This window comes from Homo sapiens, chromosome 8 (assembly GCF_000001405.40).
Source record: "Homo sapiens chromosome 8, GRCh38.p14 Primary Assembly".
In the NCBI taxonomy this organism is placed as follows: Eukaryota; Metazoa; Chordata; class Mammalia; order Primates; family Hominidae; genus Homo; species Homo sapiens.
Window position 1 is genome coordinate 28,014,043 of NC_000008.11, and position 22,406 is coordinate 28,036,448.

At 43.2% G+C, this 22,406-nt stretch overlaps 1 protein-coding gene across 4 annotated transcripts in view; it reads right to left on the reverse strand.

Annotated features, from left to right (window-relative positions):
* Nucleotides 1-7,921: 7,921 nt before the first annotated feature.
* Nucleotides 7,922-22,406, reverse strand: part of NUGGC (nuclear GTPase, germinal center associated) — a 61,973-nt gene continuing 47,488 nt past the window's right edge. For all 4 annotated transcript variants that reach the window (NM_001010906.2, XM_011544523.3, XM_011544524.4 and 1 more), the window contains 6 exons: nt 19,498-19,655; nt 17,201-17,339; nt 16,268-16,376; nt 15,224-15,360; nt 12,920-13,010; nt 7,922-9,420 (listed from right to left, as the gene is read on the reverse strand). In NM_001010906.2, the coding sequence (NP_001010906.1) occupies nt 9,275-9,420; nt 12,920-13,010; nt 15,224-15,360; nt 16,268-16,376; nt 17,201-17,339; nt 19,498-19,655 (780 nt within the window). In that variant the 3' untranslated portion in view covers nt 7,922-9,274. The remainder of the gene's footprint in view (nt 9,421-12,919; nt 13,011-15,223; nt 15,361-16,267; nt 16,377-17,200; nt 17,340-19,497; nt 19,656-22,406) is intronic.

Below are 22,406 nucleotides of genomic sequence, written 5' to 3' on the forward strand. Positions count from 1 at the left end.
GGTATGATGCCTTCAGAGCAAATGATAACATGGCGCTCTTTTCAATGCTCTCCTTGGCATGGAGATGCTGATGTTGTATTTTAATAATATAATAACACTTCAATTAACCAGCCTTACAGCCATGCTCCACAGACAACACATTCCTTCATGTCATCTGGTGCTTTTTATTATTACACTTTGGATGATGTGTCCTCAACAAGGATCATTCCTCTCCTTTCTTAAGCAGAGCTTATTGGTTATAATTTAACATTGGAAATGAGCAAGAGTCACCATTTATGATGATTGTAAGGTACTTGTGCAGGATGAAAGTGGCATCTCCCAAGGGAGAGACCGGGGATCAGAAAGGAGCTACTCTAAGCTGTTATTTATCTAAGCTGCACCACCCCGTGGAGATGGATAAGACAGGGCCCATCTCTGTTTAAGTGGTGGCTTTAGTGATATCAGCCCGGAACAGGGTGGAGAAGAGGCCCCTTAGCAGGATCATGCCGAGAAACAGGGTCCAAGAGTAAGCCCTCCTCATACAGGACGAGGCAGTGTTGTGTCCTAAATGATAATAATAATTGCTTTGGAGAGATGTGCTTGCCCACAGATAACCTACAAAGCCACAGTTCTTGCTGGAGATGCTGAAGCCATGGGATTAGAGTCCATTTCTCCCATGTCAGAGTTGACAAACCTGGACAGAGGAGGGTCTCCACTGATTTTTGGCCAAAGCCTGAGCTCTGGAGTTTTCCACTGACAGATGGAGAAGGGTAGAGTTCCCAAAGCAAGGGGCGTGGGGATCCCGGGCAGGAGACCTGCAGAGGGGCTGTTAGGAGCAGAGACAGTGAGCGGTCAGGAGAAAGATAGCCTTGGAAGGTCTCAGCCTGGGAGATTCCTCTCCTTAGCCACAAGGGCCCAGGCTCTTGTCCTCCCCTGCTGTGCAGGGAAACAGCCACCTGGCCCTTCGGTGGTTCAGCCAGACTAGGGAGACAGAGAAGCTTGAGATGGGAAGGTATTTGCTTCCTGATTGCCACAGGCTGAAATGCAGTTAAGCGTCAACCCCATTTCTCCCCTCCTCCACCCACACTTAAAAAATATCTTTGGTCGTGCCACCCTGACCCCTGGAAGCCATAAACAGGCGATATTCCAGGCCAAATGGCTGAGAGACTTGTCACTGATTGTCCTCAACCTCCCTGCCCTGCATACTCACCTCCTGGGCTACAAAAGATCACCCCTCAGGGCAGAAAGTGAGGGACTCTTCTCTGCACCCACGATAGACCGTGTGGGTCTTTAGTTTCTAGTTTCCTCCCTCATTGTCAAGCTGTCAGTGTTTTTTTATTATTATTCTTATGAAAAAGGGACAGGGGGCACTGATGAGGTTGTTTTAGCCAAAGATGCATAGTCTAAACCCAATCACGAAGAGACATCAGACAAACCCACATATTATAAAACAGCTGGCCTGTACCTCTCAAAAATGTCCATGTTATGAAAGGTAAGGAAAGGCTGAGGAAATGTTCTAGATTAAAGGAATCAAAGAGACGTGATAAATACATGTAACACAGCATCCTGGGCTGGATACTCTACTGGAAAATGTTGGCAATACCGGCTATAACTAGGGCAACCGATGATATTTGAATGCAGATTATAGATAAAATGATAGTATCTTACCCATAATCAATGTTGAATTTTCTGAATTTGATCATCATACTAGGGTTATGTGAGAAAGTGTACTTGTTTTTGGGGAATACCCAAAAACATTAAGGGATAAAGGAACATGACATATGCAACCTACTTTGAAATCATTCAGAAAAAGTATGCACAAAAAGTATGCACAAATAGACACACACGGACAGGCAAAGAATGATACAGCAAAGCAAATGTAGCAAAATGTCAACAAGTTGATACAGTGTCTGTAGGAGTTCTTTGTACTATTATTGCAACTTTTCTGTAAGTTTGAAATTCTTTTGAAGAAAAAAGAAAAATATCAAAAGAAAGTGATGGGGAACTCCAAAAGAAAAGATCATGGAAGGACCCTTTAAATAGAAGCAATTCATATAGAAACTAGAGGAGTTAAAAAAAAAAAAAAAAGAAGTAAATAGAAGCAATTCAAATAATAGGAAAAATGTTCAACACCACTAACAAACCAAGTAGTGCAAGGTGGTACTTTTTAAAATCTCATCCCATTAACCTACTGCAGAAAAGGATAACAACCACTTTTGGTGAGGAATCAGTGACACAGGAACTCTCGTCCCTGCTCGTAAATGGACAGTGTTTCTGAAAAACAACTTGAGACTTTAAAATGCTTTTAGACTCAGACCTTGTAATAGAATTCTTAAAAACTTATCCAAAAGAAAAAAAAATCAGAGCTAGGGACAGAGATTTATATCTAAGCATATTCTCTATGATGTTATTTACAATGGAGAAAAACAGCATGATTTAAGTGTCCAAAAATAGCACAAAGGATAAATAAATAACACGTGTATATAGGAAAATACTGTGTAGTCATTTAGAGCTGTGTTTCAAAAAAACATTGTTTTCCCTGGCACAATCCTGCCCACCTCCCAACCTTCTCTCACTCTAGCCAGTCCACCCCTCTTTCCTGGGAAGATGAACCTGCTAGGACTTCAAACTCACCACGGAGCCCTTGGGGCACATTAAGGATCACAACAAAAGACTTTTGCTCGCAATTTTAACCTATTGATCCAGCAGCCCTTTATCCTGAATCTCCTGCTTCTGGTTCCTGAATCCTCTTGATTCTACCCTTGGCTTTTGAGGTTTTTCTTCTTTTATTGCATTGGTCTGAATTTCTGTCCTGGATTTATGTCAGTATCAGCCTGAAGCCTCTCACCAGGACTCAAGATGTTGCCCCAGGTTCTTCCCCTTTTGCTCCACTCTGCCAGTGCAGCCTTCCTGACTGACAGCTCTGCGTTGCATTCTTCAGGCAGTTAACACACAGCCCCACTGCCAGTGCCAGCTCTGACTTTCTAAGCTCTGGCTGGAGTTAACTCCTTGGCTTCCGATACCAAGGAGGTAATTTTATTTGGTGAAAACTAAGATTTGGAGCAGAGAGATATAAATCTAACACGATCTTAGTCCACAGCCCTCACTTGTCTCACGGGTTATTTAGAAGTGTGTTGTTTGGTTTCCAAATATTTGAAGACTTTTCCAGATTTCTTTTTGTTATTGACTTCTAATTTAATTCCACTGTGGTCAGAGAACATACTCTGTATGAGTTCCATATTTTAAAATTTATTGAGACTTATTTTATGACTCAGGATATGGTCTATCTTGGTAAATGTTCCATGTACACTAGAAATTAATGTGCACTCTGATGTTGATTACAGAGTATTCTATAAGTCTCAATTAGGTAAAGTTAGTTGATACACTGTTCAATTCTTTAATATCCTTACTGAGTTTTTCTACTTGTTCTATCAGTTATCAAGAGCGGGTATTGAGATTTCCAACTATAATTATGGATTTGGCTATTTCTCCTTTGAGTTTTATTAGCTTTTGCTTTGTGCATTTTGAAACTTATTAGGTGCATAACTAGGATTATTATGTCCTCTTGATGAATTAACCACTTTATCACTATGCAGTGATGATCCTCCTTATCATTAGTAATATTCCTTGCTCTGAAATTTACTTTGTCTAATATTGATATAGAAACTCTGTCTTTAGATTAGTATTTACAAATATCTATCTTCCATCCTTTTACTTTTAACATATTTATGTCTTTATATTTAAAGTGGGTTTCTACCAGACAACATATACTGAGGGCTTCTTTTTAAAAAATCTAACTTGGTAACCTCTGCCTTATTTAATTAGTGTTTTACACCATTTACATTTAATGTGTTTATATGATTGGATTTAAATCTACTATCTGGCTATTTGTTTTCTGTTTGTACCTTCTATCGTTTGTTTATTTCCTATTCTTTCCTTTCTTGGATTATTTGAGCATTTTAAATATACATTTTATCTCTTTAAGTTGTTTGCTAGATATAACTCTCTTGTTTTTCTAGTGGTTGCTCTAGGGTTTCTAGTGTATATCTTTAGCTTACCACAGTTTACCTTATACATTATATAACTGTGTATATTGTATAAAAATCTTGCAACAACATGCTTCCATTTCTCCCTTCCTGCCCTTTGTGCTTTTGTCATACATTTAAATTCTACATGCTATAAACTCCACAATGTATTGTTATTGGTTTTGTTTTAAACTACCTTTTAAATAGATTTGAGAAAAATAAGAAAAAGTATTTTATATTTGCCCACATATTTACTAATTTTGGTACTTGCTTTGGTATGTCTGAAAAGTCTATTTCACTTCATTTTTGGAAAATGTTTTTTGCTAGATGAACATTTTTTTCCTTCAATTTTTAAAAAGGTTGCTCCACGGACTTTTGGCTTACATCGTTTCTGCTGTCATTGTTTTTATTCGTTTGGATGTATTATCCACTTGTCATCTGCTTACAAGTCTGCTGTCATTGTTTTTATTCCTTTGGATGTATTATCCACCACTGCCTTTGCAGCCTCCCCTTCACCCCTAACACACCCAGCTGGTTTTAAGATTTTCTTTTCATCACTGGTTTTCAGCAATTTGATTATGATGTGTTTTGGTGTATTTTTTCTTATTTTTCTTTTGCTTCAGAGTCATTGAGCATTTTGGATCTGTGGGTTTATAATTTTTATCAAGTTTGGAAAAACCTCAGACATTATTCTCTTAAATATTTTTTCCTATATCCCCACATCTTTACTGTTCTTCTGTGGTTCTAGTAATGTATATTTTAGGGTGCTCGATGTTTTATTGATGCACTGTTCATTTTTTTCCTCCTTGTGTTTCATTTTGGGTAAGTTCTATTGCTCTGTCTTTGAGTTTACTTATCCTTTCTTCTACCCTACCTAGTCTGCTGTTAATCCCATATAGACACTGAGACTTTTTAAATCTCTCCAAGTTCTATTTGAGTCTTGAATTTCTTCCATGTCTCTTCTCATTGTGTTTATGCTTTATTCTATCTTCTTGAGCATCTGGAGTAAATTTCTTATAGCAATTTTAATAACCTTGTCTACTAACTCTATCACCTGAGTTATTTCTGGGTCTATTTCTATTGATTTTTCTCATTATTGTTCATATTTTCCTGCTTCTTCATATGCCTGGAAGTTTTTGTTTTGATGCCATACATTGTCAATTTTCCATTGTTGAGCGCTGGAATTTTTTATGCCTAAATGTTTTCATGTTTTCTTCTGGGATGCAGTTAAGTTACTTGGAAACAGTATGATTCTTCTGAAGTTTTTTTAAAACCTTTATTAGGTGGATGCCTAACAGCCTTTCACTGAGGACTATTTTGACCCCACTACTAAGGCAATATTCTTCTGATCAGTCTACTCGATGCTTCAGGTGTAAGGTCTTCCACTATGGCTAACCTAGCTTGAACTGAGCTTTGCGGACTTTTCTGCTGGCTTCATTCCAGGGGTTCTTTCCTCATTTTTGGTAGTTTCCTCACAGGCATATGCTTATCAGTACTCAGATAAAGAATCAAAGGAGACCCACTTCACATCTCTGGAGCTCTCTGTCCTGCTCTCTTCTCCATGGTAATCTTCCCTGTGAATTCTAATCACCTTGGACTCTTCAAACTCTGATCTCTGTCCCCTCAACTCAGGGAGAACACTCAGTTCCTTTGGGGCTTCCCTTTCCTGTGCTGTGGTCTGGAAACTCAACCAAGTCATAAGATAAAGCATTGTAGGCCTCACCTTATCTCCCTCCCTTCTTTCAGGGGTGACTGTGTTGCACTATTTTCCCATATCTAAAAATTGCTGTTTCATAATTTTTGTTTGTTTGTTGTTGTTGTTGTTGTTTAACCAGAGGGTAAATCTGGTCCTGTTACTCCACCATGGCTGGAGGTGGAAGTCCTCTACATCCCTCTCGTGAAATATGAAAAGTGAACTATACAAACTGCAATAGAACGCTATGTGTTTAGAAGTTTAATGTGAAAATGAACCACTGAGACATAACCACATGGCTAAATCCCTTTTTCTCCTACTTAGGCAAAAGGTATTATAACAAAAAGAAAAGAATTTAAAATCCTAGAATTTCAAAGGAGCAAAAGATGTTTTAATCATCCAGTTCCTCTCTTTCCTTTTGTATATGAGGAAATAAAATCTCAGAGGTGTTAAGGAATTGTCATATTAGTATTGGTCAGAGCTGGGATCAGAACCCAAGTTTCCCAACAGACAAGCCACTGAACCATGTTATTTCCATTCTGCCCATAAACAATAGTGACCATTTATCAAGTACTATTAAGTACAATGTGTCCATATTTTGTAAGCATTATCCTAAACTTCCTGACAACCCTAGCAGTATCAGGGTAGGTACTACCATTGTCACCATTTTACAGATAAATTACCTGAAGCTCAGGGGGTTTAAATGATTTGTCTAAGACAGCTGTTCTCAAATATGGTCCCTGAAACTCTTCTGTGGGGTCTGCTGGGTTAAACTGTTTTTATAATAATACTAAGATGTTATTTTCCTTTTCTACCATGTTCACACTTGTACTAAAGGTGTAAAAGCAAAGATGGGTAAAACAACTTGCACCTTGGCATGAACCAAAGCAGTGGCACCAAACTACATTCAAAACTCTTGTATTTTTCACCGTCATGAACTTTCAGGGCTTTTAAAAAGCCAGTTGGACTTTAAAATGTTCTAAATGAAACAGTATGTTATTAATTGTATTAATTATGGACATCTATGTAGATGTCATTTTATTATTCTGTGGGACAAAATGGGAAATACACTTAAAGCACTTCTGCAAAGAAAAGCATTTCCTTGAGTGTCTGAGTTTCAGGCTGAACTTGACACTTTTTTCTTGGAACATCATTTTTATTTGAAATAATGACTGACAAACTATAGTTCATCATATACAGTTATATAGTAAACACTTTCCTAAAAATGAGGAAAGTGAATCTATCACTTCAAAGAAAGCAACTGACAACATTTGTCATCAATGATAAGATGAGCTTTTGGGGGGGAGATGGAATTTTGTAAAACATATTTTTCACTGTGAGCTTGACAGCTTCCCAATACTGCAATACTTTCCTGATGAGATTGGTGAAGACACTAACAAAATGATTTCATGGTAGTATACAATAAAATGCATCAACACTTGGAATATTTGCTTAACTCAGCGAATAAATATTTTCAAGATGAGCAATGCCTGATATCACAAAATCATGCATTAGTAAAAAAAATCATTCAAAGTACAAAATCAACCAGTGCACTTTAATGTAATAGCATTTGAAAAATGTTCACTGATAATGCTTTCAGATCCACACCACAATTAACTTTTAAGAAACTGCCATCTGCCTTTGTAGAATCAAAATATATCCCAAAATTACCTGAAAAAGCTATTAAAATACTTCCTTGTATTCCAACTGTATATCTGTGTGAGACTGAATTTTTTTCATATACATCAACCAAAACAATATATTGCAACAGAGTAGATGAAGAAACTGATATGAGAATCCAGCTGTGTTCTATTAAGCCAGGGAATAAAGAGATTTGCAAAAGTGTAAAACAATGTTACTCTTCTCAGTACCTTTTTTTTAAATAGCTTTTTACATAACAATGGGTTATTTTTGTTAACACGTAATGGGTTTATTATTGTTACTTCTAAAAAAGTTAGTAAATAATTACTTACATTTTCTCCTATTTAATTTCGAATAGTCAATATCATCAGACATAACCCACATAAACAAAGGCTCCTCAGCGTCCTTTAAAAGTGAAGAGTCCTGAGATCAAAATGTTTAGGAAGTGCTGGCCTTAGATAACACATCTGAGAAGTGATGAAGCCGGGTCTATGTTCATCTGGCTCCCAAACCCATTTTGTTTCCAGGATACGATGTTGCCTCCTTACCCAAAGTCTCATCAGTACTAAAATAAAAAACAGAATTGGATTCCTAAAAGCTTTATTTTGCAATGTTTTCCATAATACTTAAGTTTTTCAACGTTTAGATATTTTTCTTTATTGAAGGATGAATTTCTTTTTATGGCTTGTTTTATATCGTGCAATGTTTTTTCTATAATGTTTAAGTTTTTTTATGTATGGGTGTGTGTGTGTATATATATATATTTTTTTCTTTTTCTTTTTTTTTTTTTTTTTTTGAGACATAGTCTCACTCCGTCGTCCAGGCTGGAGTGCAGTGGCGCGACCTTGGCTCACTGCAACCTATGCCTCCTGGGTTCAAGCGATTCTCCTGCCTCAGCCTCCCAAGTAGCTGGGACTATAGGCACATGCTACCACGCCTGGCTAATTTTTTGTATTTTTAGTAGAGATGGGGTTTCACTGTGTTAGCCAGGATGGTCTCAATCTCCTGACCTCATGATCCGCCCGCCTCAGCCTCCCAAAGTGCTGGGATTACGGGAGTGAGCCACCATGCCCAGCGATGTTTAGATGTTTTTGCGGAAGCAAAAGTTTCTTGCCCTAAAGCTTTAGAACTCCATTAGGTATTGAAGATGACTCTTTGGGGCTATAAAATAAAATGCAGTAAACATACTAGTTTTATATTGCATGCAAAGTCCAAATAGTTGAGAAATGTCCTCTATTAGATTTCACAAAACAGAAAGAATTCTGAGCCAGGCACAATGGCTCATGCCTGCAATCCTAGCACAAGAGACTGAGGTGGGAGAGAATCACTTGAGGCCAGGAGTTTGAGACCACCCTGGGCAACAGAGCAAGATGCCATCTCCACAAAAAATTAAAAAATTACCCAGGTATGGGCCGGGCACGGTGGCTCATGCCCGTAATCCCAGCACTTTGGGAGGCAGAGATGGGTGGATCACGAGGTCAGGAGTTCAGGACCAGCCTGGCCAAGATGATGAAACCCCGTCTCTACTAAAAATATAAAAATTAACCGGGTGTGGTGGCAGTCGCCTATAATCCCAGCTACTTGGGAGGCTGAGGCAGAGAATTTCTTGAACCCAGGAGGTGGAGGTTGCAGTGAGCCGAGATTGCACCACTGCATTCCAGCCTGGGTGACACAGCGAGACTCTGTCTCAAAAAAAAAAAAAAAAAAATTACCCAGGTGTGGTGGCCTGTACCTGTAGCCCCAGCTGCTCTGGAGGCTGAGGCTGGAGGATCGCTTGAGCCTAGGAGTTCGAGGCTGCAGTGAGCTGTGATGGTGCCACTGCACTCCAGCCTGGGCAACAGAGGTAGATAGATCTTGTCTCTTAAGAACAAAAAAAGTAATTCTAATTCTCTGGCTCTGGGCTGATTTTTCATCCATTGGGACTAAGCCCCAGGAGTTACAGTGATGTCCCGGGGGGGCCAGCCTTGCTGGGGGATGCCCTTAGGAGGAATTCTTGCATGCCCTTCCTCAGCCGTGCATTCTCCGCGACCTCCCTCAGGCTTCTGTGCAGCTTCTCCATCTCCTTGTATTCACTCCCGACATCTACAGGAGAGCAGAAAGCTCACATCAGGACTTGGTGTCCGTTGCAGAAACGTCTCCAGAAAGCAAATCCCCCAACAATCCTGTCACTTGTCCCAGAATATGAGATCTGGAGTGGTGCTTACAGATCAGACATCAAAGCAGGTGTTCCTCCTCTTACCAGAAAGCTTTCTCAGCATGGGGTCACCCTCAAAAGAAACCCAAACCTACCCATAAGAAAAACCCTGAGAAGTCACTGGGTCTGTATTAAGGCTTCACAGGTGTGTGATATACAAAGCATGTTGCACAATAACACCTCCTCTAATTCCTCTCCAGGCGGCTCCCCCTCTTCCCCCCACCCCAATCCCTATCCTCCCAGCACAACCCATTCTCAGTGAATGTTCTCTTTCTGGCATCTCAGGTTTTAATCCCATGATCTGTAATCAAACCATGTTCTCACAATGGTTAGTTTTATGTGTCAACTTGTTTAGGTCACAGGGCCCAGAAACCGGATTAAACGTGAGTCTGGATGCCTCTGGGAGGGTGTTTTTGGATGAGATTCACATTTAACAGGGATGCTCCAGTGACAGCCTTGGGCCTTTGACATGGAGTTTTGCTCTTGTCACCAAGTCTGCAGTACAATGGCATGATCTTGACTCACTGCAACCTCTGCCTCCCAGGCTCAAGTGCTTCTGCCTCAGACACCCAACTAGCTGGGATTACAGGCACCCACCACCTCGCCTAGCTAAATTCTTTCTTTTTTTTTTTTTTTTTTTTTGTATTTTTAGTAGAGACAGGGTTTCACCACGTTGGCCAGGCTGGTCTCGAACTCTTGACCTCAGTTGATACACCCGCCTCGGCCTCCCAAAGTGTTGGGATTACAGGCATGAGCCACCGTGCCCGGCCAAGCCTTGGTTGGGCCTTTGTCTGCAACATCGACTCTGCCTGGTTCTGCAGGGATGGCCTCTGGACTCGAACTGCCTCTCTTTCTGGAGTCTCTGTCCTGTGGGCCTCCCTGCATCAGATTTTGGGCTCACCAAGCCTCCACCATCGTGTGGGCCAACTTCTTAAAATAAATCTCTTCCTCTATCTATCCACACATCCTACTGGTTCTGTTTATCTGGAGGACGCTGACTAATTGCAGTCCCCTTTGAAGGGACACTTCAGACTGAGCCCTGAATGCCTTTCTAATCCCCCTTGGCTTTCTGTGCCCGAGGGTGACTCAGGTTAGTTGGCCCTGAGCCTGGCCAGGGATGGGACTCATGAGCAGAGGGGAGTTAGGACCCGGAGTCTTTTTGTTCTGTCCCATATCTGGAAGGCCTCCCTTCTCCCCACTGCCTCTGAAATCAACCTAACCTTTGAGGCTTCCCCCAGGACCCAGCTTCAGTGACGCTTCCCCGCGTCCCAGCCCTGAATAACCACTCTGTCTCTGAACTTCAAGAATAACGATCTGAAGTCTGAGTGGGTTCCCTCCCTCAGGGCTTTGCTTAAGTGTCACATTCCCAGGGAGACCTTCCTTTACCACCCTGTCCCACCACCCTGTCCCGTACCTCAGCATCCCTTCTTCCCTTTCTGTGTTTCGCTTCCCTGCCACATATTTCACTTATTAGTTTGCTGACTGCCTGCCTTCCACCCACTGGGCTGTGAGCTCCATGAAGGTGGGGACTCTTGCCTGTATTGGCCACCACTGTGTCCTCAGCACCCAGAACACTGCCTGGCACCCAGGACGTGATCAGAATCGCTTGCTGAGTGAATGTAAACTCCCCAGTCTTACAACGCACATTCTTACACATCTTGTCTTACCAACCAGGTAAGGCCCTGACAACAGGGACTGCCTTTTAGATTTCTTTATAAAGTATGACCCCCTGACATGATGTATATTTGCTGTCGATGGTGAAGAGAAGGAAATAGGCTTAAATTATAGCAGTTGCACTTGACATCAAACTGAGGGGAGCACCATCTGTCAAGTGCACCTGCTATAATTCTTGAAGTTCAGAGACAGAGTGGTTATTCAGGGCTGGGATGCGGGGAAGCTTCACTGAAGCTGGTCAAGATCTCTGGCAAGCGGGAGTTCTTTAAAGCAGGCACATTGGAATGACTATCATCTTAAAACTTAGATTCCTATAAAGGCCTGGACAGAAGGTCATGAGAGTCCAGTACATTATAGTGTGAGGGTGTTGTATCTCCTTCCCTGGAGTCCGTTAGATCAGGTTAGAGGTCCATCTAACCAGCCATAAATGGGTCATAAAGATTCCCAGAGAGATGGAGAAGTGCAGAACGGATTGTTAGAAGCAGCCATTGTGGCTTTGACTTTGGGAACAGCTCTGTCTACTTTCACCCTGGCAAACTCAAATGGCATCAGATCTGTTCATTGCAGCAGGCAACTATGGATGTGGTATAAAATATAAAAGGCACAAAATATACAGGGTGCAGAGCAAGGCTCCCACCCTCTCCTACCCTCCAGCCTTCCAGTTCCCCTCCTTAGAGGCAACGAGTACTGCCAGTGTTCTATGTAGCCCATGGAGATTTTTATGCACATACAAACATATACATATGTATTTCCTTTTTTCCCCTCTCACAAATGGCAACATACCATATACATTTACTCACTTTGCTGTTTTCCACTTTGTAATATATTTTGGAGATCATTTCATGCCACTACCTATAAAGCTGCTTTATTTTTTCTAACAGTTACACAGTCCTCCACTCCTTGTGTATCTAATTTAATTTGAGCAGTGCTTTACTTACAGATATTTGAGTTGTCCCCATTTCTGACTTTAGAATGTTACCCTGAATAACCTTGTCTATATGCCACCCTCCCCCCATATAAGGATATCTGTAGGGTTGCTGCGCCAAATGATATGTGCATTTTAAATTTGGCTAGAAATTACTTAATTGCTGTTTGTACCAGGTTACCCTCTCCAGTTTATACCGGGGGCCTGATGGAGCCCATGGCCTGAAAGGGACATGGTTGCCTACACCAAGGTCCACAGCTGGGGCCGCATCCCCAGGCTATAGGTGGATTAAGAGAAGCCTTTCTCCACCATCACCAGACCATGAAATTTTTCTTAAGGAGGCATCAACTTAAAAGAAAGACTTTATGGAGAGAGCAGGGCAGAGCTGTGGATTTAAATTAGCCGCTTTCCAGCTATGGGACCTTGGGCACATTTCCTAATATAAGTCTCTATTTCTGCATCTGCAAAATGGAGCAACAACATCTATCCCTGGGAGGTAATGTGAGAATTCAGTGAAACCATGAGCACAAAGCCTGAGTATAATGCTTGCTGTCAGTTGGGTGCTGGGCAAAGGGTAGGGCTGTTGTTTTCATCATCATCATCATCATCATCATCATCATCACCATCATCATCGTCATCATCTCCATTCCTTGCCCTGCTAATTCTTCCTAACTTCCTAACTTAAATTCCTAAAATTTAAAGTTTAATACCTTTAAATTCAGGAAGGAGTAACCACAGCCAGGGCTGTCTGCACAATCACCCTGTATACAAAGCTTTGGCGTATTTACCTGCAAGCTCCTTGTAGAGGCCATCCCCCTGGGACGAAGCAAGGGCCAGCATAGTGGTGATGCTGCCCTTCACCTTCTCCACGATTCCAGTCTATGCAACAAGGACATTCAGTCTGTTAGGATGGTGCAGCCCAAGGAAAAGTGGATCTTATAAAAGGGACCCCACCCAGTCCCCCAGCCACGGAAGGTACAGACTGGGGTTGCCAAAGTCAGGCTTTGCAACCCAGTTGCAAAACGGTGAAACATTTTCAAGGACACCAAATGGCCCAGGAGGCAGCAAGACAACATTTCTGTGGGCTCCCATCTGTACAGCATCTCCCTCCCCACCTACAGGCTCGTGGGGGGCTGCAGCTCTGGTGCCAGCTGATCAAATCAGGAGCTAATGGGGAAGCATGAAGGCATGGCGGAGAGAATGGCAATCACAGAGATGGAAAAAGAGGGAAAGAGCTGGTCACTTTCCCACCATCCTCTCGTCCATGCATCTGCTCACTGGGGAGATGTTTGCTGCACACTTGCTTTGTGCCACTCACCTTACTGTACATGTCTGATTCTTCCCAACTGCCTGAGAAGTGTCTTCTTGCTACTCTTAGTCCTTTTATCAACTAAAACCCCTTTCTTCCCTCTTCTGTTTCTGCCTCCCTTTGAAAAAAATGTCAGGCTCCTTCCTCTAGCCTGGCAGAGTCTAGTTTTGAAGCTGGATCTCCTACGCTTTTTCTTTAACGTTCTAGATTCTAGATCAAGAGCCCTAAGCATACATCTCAGCTCTAGCCATGGACCTGGAACCTGTAACTCAAGGCCTCTAGGTTCCAGCTTCCTCATCTTTAAGATCAGGGAACGAGAGATTCACAGCTCCTAAACCACAAGAAGGAGTCACCTCACGCTAGAGTGAAAACGAAGCAGCAAGCCACATTATCGATCAATATATCAGAGACTAATCTGTATATTCAACAAAATACTATTCCATTCTTTAATTTACAGGACTATTGCGAAGAGGTAATTTAAAAAAAGTAAATCTTCAAACATTATGTATAAAAAGAAATTTCACCCATTGTGTAGAACTAAAATATTTTAAAAAACTAAAAGTTAACTGGCGTTCTTTAAAAAAAAAAAAAAAAATCACAGAATGGGAACACTCTATGGTCTTGCCCAGTTTTAACTTCCTATGTTTCTGTCATTTCAGATACATTTGTACATGGTCAACGTACACATTTTTTAAGCGACATAGTTTCCTGGGTGTCTTAAGATCCAGTGTCTATGTACACAATGGGGAAATGGGAACTGGCTTTATGGAGTTCGGCCAGTTTCTTGTCCATGAATTTTTAGACGGTGATAACATGTTAAAGGATTGAAACTAAACTGCTGCTAGTGAACAAGATGCCTCTTAGCCTACTCCAAGGGGAATTACATGCTTTGAATTGTAAAGAAGGATATTTTCCAAAACTGCAGTCCCGGTGGAGGAGAGGAGATTGGGCAGAAACAGGTTGGAGATGTTTCAAGAAGGCTGGTTCTGAGGTGGACTGAGATAGCAATAGGCCAGCTTCCCTGAGGGCTTGGGAGACAGGATCAGCCAGCCTGGGTTGAGGCAGAAAATGTGGAGCCTCACATGGCCAGGGAGGAAGCCCACAGTGGCATGGACTTCAAGGATCTCTACTACTTGGGGGAAAGGGGGTGGCAAGCCATGAGGCCCAGAGCAGAGGCAAGATGGTCCAGGTAGGCTTGGCAGAAGCATTTAGGCCCAAGGAAACCATCAGGAACTGTCTTCGGGGGTAGATAAAATTAAAGCTGAATGTGTGCTGGTTACCATAACTGACTGGCCTTGAGTAGTGTATTGATATTTACTTACTGACATTTTATGTAGACAAGACATCTCCCTATCTAAACAATCTGTTTTGAGATCGTGCTATTGTTGGACATGCTGGAGACAGGCTTCCCAATCCCAAATCCCAGCTGTGCATCTCCCTGGCTGTGTGGCTGGTTGATACATCTCCCGCTGCCAGAAGTTTCTTCTCTATAAAATGGGAACAATGATAGTACCTACCTCACAGACTTGCTGGGGATTAAATGAGCTAATGTAAATAGCTGAGCACATGTCTAGCTATTACAGTCTCTGTGCTACTGGTGACTCAGGAAAGAGGAGAGGCACAAGAGAGTGTTGGAAGACTGCAGCTCTCAAGTCGAAGCCCCAGAAAGCATCTGTTCCATTTGGACCCAAATGCCTACTATGCCTTCCACCTTCTGCACTCGCTTCCTCTCCTCCCCCGGAGCCTCTCGGGGTCTAGGATCCAGGATGTGGGCATAGAGTACCTTCAGCTGCTGAAACTGGTGCTGCATCCTTTCCTGGGCCCTTTCAAACATGCCCTCAGCCACCTGCCGGTCCACTCCTCTTCTGATGGCATCTTTCATCCGCTCACACGCTTTTTTGCCCGTGATCTGAGCTGCCTCTGGCAAAAATGATAGCCACAGTCACACCAAGACAAGGACCTGCTTAGAAATCTTTGGCACCATGGCCGGGCATGGTGGCTCACACCTGTAATCCCAGCGCTTTGGGAGGCTGAAGTGGGCAGATCAGCTGAGGTCAGGAGTTCAAGACCAGCCTGCCCAACATGGTGAAACCCCCATCTCTACTAAAAATACAAAAATTAGCTGGGCACCGTGTGCACGCCTGTAATCCCACCTACTTAGAAGGCTCAGGCACGAGAATCGCTTCAACCCAGGAGGCGGAGGTTGGAGTGAGCTGAGATCGCTGCCACTGCACTCCAGCCTGGGTGACAAAGCAAGACTCCATCTCAAAAAAACAAACAAAAAAAGAAACCTTTGGCCTTAGAAAGAAAAGCAAGCCAAGCAAACAAACAAACAACAACAACAAATATATATATACTTATATAAAAATAACACTTTATATGTTTAGATAATAACCAGCATTCAGAAAACCTAATGACTGAATTAAGCTGAAACTTGCAAAATCACTCCCTACCCCTCAAACGACAGAGCCACCAAAACAGGAAAGAGCCTGAAAATGAGTTCACAAGTGAGTGAGTTCAAGTATTTGTGAATACTTGGAAACAAAAATGAGAACCTGGACACTGGATTCTACAGCTAAATCAGCTGGGATGTTGTATGCAAAAAAGCAGGGTGTCTGGACCAAGGGTAGACAGAAAGAGCTGGAAAACACACAGAGAAGGGTCCTCACACCCTGCAGTCATGTGGTTGCAATGTGTGGACTGAGAGTGCTGCAAAGTCTTAGGGTGCAAGAGAACAGGGCCTTTGAGGGAGCCGCAGAAAAGGATGCGAAAGATGCTGACAGAAAGTCCCAGAGCAGGCAGAAATGCTGTCCTCCGCAGCCCCCACCTTCGTAACAGAGCTTCAGGTCACTCTGGACAGAGGCAGTGAGGGACTCGTAGATCCTCCTCTTCCTTCTGAGGATGTGGTCCTCCAGGCCCCCGAGGATGGCACTTATCTGGGAAGATGTGGCAAAAGAGGCCGTTGGTGACAATTCCTTCAATGGAAGCAGGTCAGGTGTCCCAGTGCATGGCCACCATTCCCTCCACCTCCACCTTATATGATGCCCAGTTGTTTGTCTGTCATCTCCACAACTAGGCTGTGAGCTTCTCATAGGCAGGAACTCTGTTCTAAGCATCTTTATACCCCAAGTGCTTCCCATGGTGCCTGGCACCTACAAACTACTCAATAAATATTTGCTGAGTTGAACTCAGGCACAGGCAACGTCCTGGAATGGGCCCTCTCTGGGGGGCAGAGGAGATACAAGCTCTTTCCCTAGCATTGCCATGTAATTTGAGGTGGCACTGGAAGAAAGTGGGTCACAGACAAGAGTCTTGAGGCCTCAAAACTAAAAATTGACCTAAAATTGAACAACAATAACAAAAAGGATTGACTTCTTTAAGTTTCACTGCATCGGATGCTACTTTGTAACATTGGCAAAAATGATAGGTTAGTGAAAATGGTTCCAGTTGATGCAAATTTTCATACAATTAAGGCTTCTTTAAAGATTCTTCCTGGAAACTGAGTCAACTTTGCAACCTTGTCGTGCACTCTCAGTTGCTTCACAGTGGAACAAAATGTCCCACACCTCCTCCAAGGCAGTCAGGCCCACTGCCGTCCCCACATCCCACTGGGTTCTGTATTTCACAGCGCCTCCTAGGAGGTACTCCCAGACCCTGGATACTCCAGGGAACAAGGGAACAGACAGGCAACCTACAAAACTGGCCTGGGAAGAAAGCCATGCCCAACCTCACTGCTCTCCTCACTTTATAAGGAACGTACCTCCTGGATCAGGAAATTTTTTTTGCAGCTATCATATTTCCAGCCACTTCTTATCCCAATTTCTGTCATTTTCTCCTGCAGGGACTGCTTAAAAGCATCTATGTGAGGCATCAGAGCTGAACCAGTGGGCTTCCCCGTCCTACGGAAGAAAGTGACAAAAAAGTTTAAGAGAATGGTGGCTGCTGTGAGGCTGAAACAAACACGAAACTAGCTGGTGTCCTTTTATTCATTTAAGAGAAGGAAGATGAAATCTAACAGTTATCAAATCCCTATAATGTGCCAGGCACTGTGCTGTGCCAGACCTTTGACATAAAAACCTATGAAGTTCGTGAGATAATGCTCACTTAACAAGTGAGAAAATTGAGGTTCAGAGAGGATTGCTGGTGTGTCCAAGGTCACACAGCTAGCAAGAGGCAGAGCCATGCTTGGAACACTGCTTTAACTACAGGACTCACAGTCTTTCCACTGCCAATGTGTGTCCACTTGAAAGGGTGGAACTTGAACTATACCTAAAAGTTGGGTAAGATCTGAAGAAGTGGAAAGAAGAAATTATTCCCCATGGGACAACATGGTAAGCACAGTCGTTTCAGAATATCCCAGAAATAGGAAGTGAGAGGTTGCAGAGGAGAGAGCACAAGCTTTAAATCCTAGCTCTCTGCTCATGAGTTGGGTGCCATTGGGAAAGATGCACAATTTTCTGAATCTCAGTTTGTTCAGATGTAAAAAGACAGAAGCCACTCCTTAGAGTCACTGGGAACATCCGATGAGCTAATGCCTGCCAAGTGCTTAGCACTGGTGGCCAGGACAGGTAGCTGCTCTCTCTTTGCCACCTGCTGGGTGGGCTACAGCACAAGGCTGCAACCAGGCAGCGGTGCAGGCAGAGGTTGGAAAGGCAAGCTGGAGGCAGGTGGAATGTCTTGAACGCGTTCTAAGGGATTTGAAGTTTAGCCCACAGAATTGTAAACAGGGCGGGGGTGCAATCGATGGAATGGCATAATCCAAGACGTGCTTAAAGAAAGGTGGGGCAGGGATGGGGGCTCTGAGTAAGACACAAGCAAAGGCTGGAGAATGGTTCAAGCAGCCACCAATGGGCAACCACGTGAAATGCCAGCGGGAAGGACAGAGACTATGGGTGGCTGTACTTGGGGACTGGGAGATTCTGTTTCTGCTGATGGAGTAAAGAATTAGAGGTCAGCCGGGCGCGGTGGCTCATGCCTGTAATCCCAGCACTTTGGGAGGCCGAGGCGGGCAGATCACAAGGTCAGGAGATCAAGACCATCCTGGCTAACATGGTGAAACCCCATCTCTACTAAAAAATACAAAAAATTAGCCAGGCATGGTGGCAGGTGCCTATAGTCCCAGCTACTCGGGAGGCTGAGGCAGGAGAATGGTGTGAACCCAGGAGGCAGAGCTTCCAATGAGCTGAGATCGCGCCACTGCACCACTCCAGCCTGGGCGACAGAGCGAGACTCCATCTCAAGAAAAAAAAAAAAAAAAAAGAATTAGAGGTCAAGGAAGGAGGGAAGGAGGGAGCACCAAGGAGGTACAGTCCCCAAACCCACATCATGTATGTGAGCAGGCAGAGTGTGTCAGAAACAGACACAGCATCTTCAGTGCATTCAGGGAAAGCTCTGAGGCTGGGTGTGGTGGCTCACACCAGTAATCCCAGCACTTTGGGAGGACGATGGGGGAGGATCATTTAAGGTCAGGATTTCAAGACCAAACTGGTCAACACAGCACTGTCTCTACAAAAAATATTTTTTAAAAGTTAGCCAGGCATGGTGGCATATGCCTGTGGTCTCAGCTACTTGGGAGGCTGAGATGGGAGGATTGCCTGAGTCCAGGAGTTTGAGGCTGCAGTGAGCTAGGATTGTGCCACTGCACTCCAGCCTAGGCAACAGAGCAAGACCCTGTCTCATTTTTTAAAAAAAAGGAAGAAAGAAAGTTCTAAAGGCCATGTGTTTGCTTAATTCTACTCTCTCCAATCAAAATACCCTGTCCTGGGCTCAGATCCCTAAGAAAATGTATCCCCTGCTGCATGTATGAGATATTTGAAAAATAATGGGAATCATAACATTAGTCTGAAAGCAGCATCTCAGTCTGTGTCCAGGTCATCATGGGAAATTTTTAAGTAAACCAAACCAAGAAGGCTTTTGTGTTTTGCCAAGGACTAAGGTTTCCTTCTCCAGTTACAAGCTACTCTTTACACTTACAGATCCAAAGTCTAAATTCTTAAAGACTGGCTCCACATTCTTCCGATGTTTGTTCCCGAAGGTGCAAGATGAGAGATCCTTTACCTAAAAATGCTTCCAAAAACAGGGTCGATCTGGTCATAGACGGGCTGAGTGAGGGCTTCATTTAGATCAATTCTCGCCAGAGTCCTGGAGGCATAGATGCCATTTTTCAGGCAAACAGCTTTCAGGGTCTGATGAAAACCTTGGTTTCCTTTACTCCTCTAGACAATCAACAATAAATTAGCAGAGTTAGGCATTAACTGGAAGGTCACTGGATTAGAATTGCATTGCCCTGGCCAAAGATCACTACCAAGAATCACAGGAAAGTGTAGAGACAACATGCTCTTTAAATATATGATTAAACTAAAAGAGGGAGGACAGTGGTCACGCCTCTAGGTCGTCTGGGTGCCCCTGCCATGGGCTTCCTAAAGTCCCTGTGCTCACTTGGATCACAACCCTTCTGAAGTGATTCTGTGTTAGTTTACTCATTTGTCCGGCTCCTGTACTCAGCCATTAGCTCATTGAAATCAGGCACAGTGTCTCATCCATCTTTATGTCCTCAACATCTGGGAATAACTTAAGTAGTGTTTGAGAAATATTTGCTAAATGAGCAATTATTGAACGACTAAATAAATGAATGAATGACAACGTGCTATGACCGGACAATAAGTATATGTCTTGAATTTTCTAAGGATAGTCCAGATTTCATAAACTTTTTGTTAAACTTTTAATGAAATACAATTTGATTTGTAATGTCTTGGCGATGTTTTTTTCCCAGGGAAATAAATACATAAATGAGAGGAAAGAAAAATATAAAGCTAGACCTATGAGAGACATTAATCAATTTCGGCCAGATGGTAATCATTAGTAAAGAGAGTAAAAATGTGTTTGCTAAAATTTCAGTAGAGAGCTCTGTGATTTTTTAATCAATGATATACGTTTTAAGGGAATGGCCACATAGCATTGTACAATTGGTATAATTCTCTCTTTTTTCTCTGCTCTTTTTACTTAGTATTACAACATGAGAATATCCCCAAATCATTGTAAATATGTTCCAGGCCAGATGCAGTGGCTCATACTGGTAATCTCAGCACTTCGGGAGGCCAAGGCAGGTGGATCATCTGAGGTCAGGAGTTCAAGACCATCCTGGCCAACATGGTGAAACCCCCATCTCTACTAAAAATACAAAAATTAGCCAGGCATGGTGGCACATGCCTGTAATCCCAGCTACTCAGGAGGCTGTGGCAGGAGAATTGCTTGAACCTGGGAGGCAGAGGTTGCAGTGAGCCGAGATCGCAGCACTGCACTCCAGCCTGGGCAACAAGAGCGAAACTCCAACTCAAAAAAAAAGGTCCAAAAATTGTACTAATAACCATTTAATATAGTATCATATGGATGAAAAATAATTCATTTTACCTCTCTCTTGTTCTTAGACATTTCGGTTATTTTCCTATGTTAAATAATGATACGATGTTAGTATGTAATTGTCTTCCCAAATTTCTGATCTCAAAGATACATTGTTTATTTGATAGGAGCACCTTGGGCATGTTTGTAGTCACAGAGGAAGAAGTCATTAAAGGGCTGATGAGATGGGACAGTTGATGGGGTAAAGTCCTGGAGACGCTCGAAAATGTCTGTAGTTGCTTCTTCTGCTCACAGCAAACTCTCAACAGGGTGATCTCTGCCTCATGCCTTCGTCCTCTCAGCCCCCACTCACTCATTCACTTTCTGTGATCTGGGTTTTTCAATCATGGGATAGAAACAGCTCTATCTAAGGTCACTTCTTTATCTATTGCTATGAAACAAATTACCCCGAACATAGCGGTGCAGTGGCTTAAAAACAAACAGTAAACGCCTGTCATCTCTCAGGGATCTGTGGGTCAGGACTGGGATGGCTGGGCTGGCCACTCTGGCTCAGGATTCTCCTGAGGTTTGGTCAGGTGTGGCTGGGGGCATAGTCATCTGAGTGAGGCTGGAGGATCTGCTTCCAAAGATACCCGGCTGCTCGCTGGTGCTGGCTCCTGGCCTCAGGCGGGGGCCTTAGCTGCTCTCCATGTGACCTCTGCACACAGTGGCTCAATTTCAGTACACAAAGGCGTCCCCCTGAGAAAGTGACCCAAGAGCCACCATGGAAACTTCCATGGCCCTTGATGGCCTAGCCTCAGAAGCCACACACTGTCACCTCTGCAGCATTCTCTTGCTCAGAAATCAGCCCTGATTCAACGTGGGGGAGACTCCATGAGGGCATAAATACCCAGAGGTGAGGACCCTTGGGGCCACTGTGGTGGCTGCCTAGCACAGTCACCAATGAAACCCTCAATGGCCAAATCCAATGGCTCTGGTTTGCTTTTGTTTGTTTGTTTGTTTTTTACTTCTCAGGAGCATGTGATATTCGTCTTAACGAACTTTATTTTTCTTTTTTAAGAGACAGGGTCTCTCTCTGTCACCCAGGCTGGAGTGCAGTGGCACGACCATAGCTCACTGCAGCCTCCAACACCTGGGCTCAGGTGATCCTCCTGCCTCAGCTTCCTGAGAAGCTGGGACTACAGGGGTATGCCACCATGCCCAACTTTTTTTTTTAAGAGACAGGTTCTTGCTATGTTGCCTGGTTGGTCTTGAACTCCTGGCCTCAAGCAATCCTTCTGCCTCAGCCTCCCAAAGTGCTGGGATTACAGGCATGAGCCACTGCACTCAGCCTTAACAAACTTTATTACTTCAGTTTTCTGGTTGGAAAATAAGAAATTAAGCATTACACTAAAAATAAGCATAAAAATAAGAAAATAGGCATTACACGATTTCCTTCTTCTGCTACCTCTCAGGCTTTTCCTTCTCTGCCCCTCCCCTGCCCCTCTTTATTCTTTTGCTTCCTTAATGTGGCCTTTGTATGAAGAGATATCCTATCACTGTCCTTCTCTCCACTCCTCCTCAATCCCATTCACTGGTATATGTGCATCAATTCCATGCAAGTGACA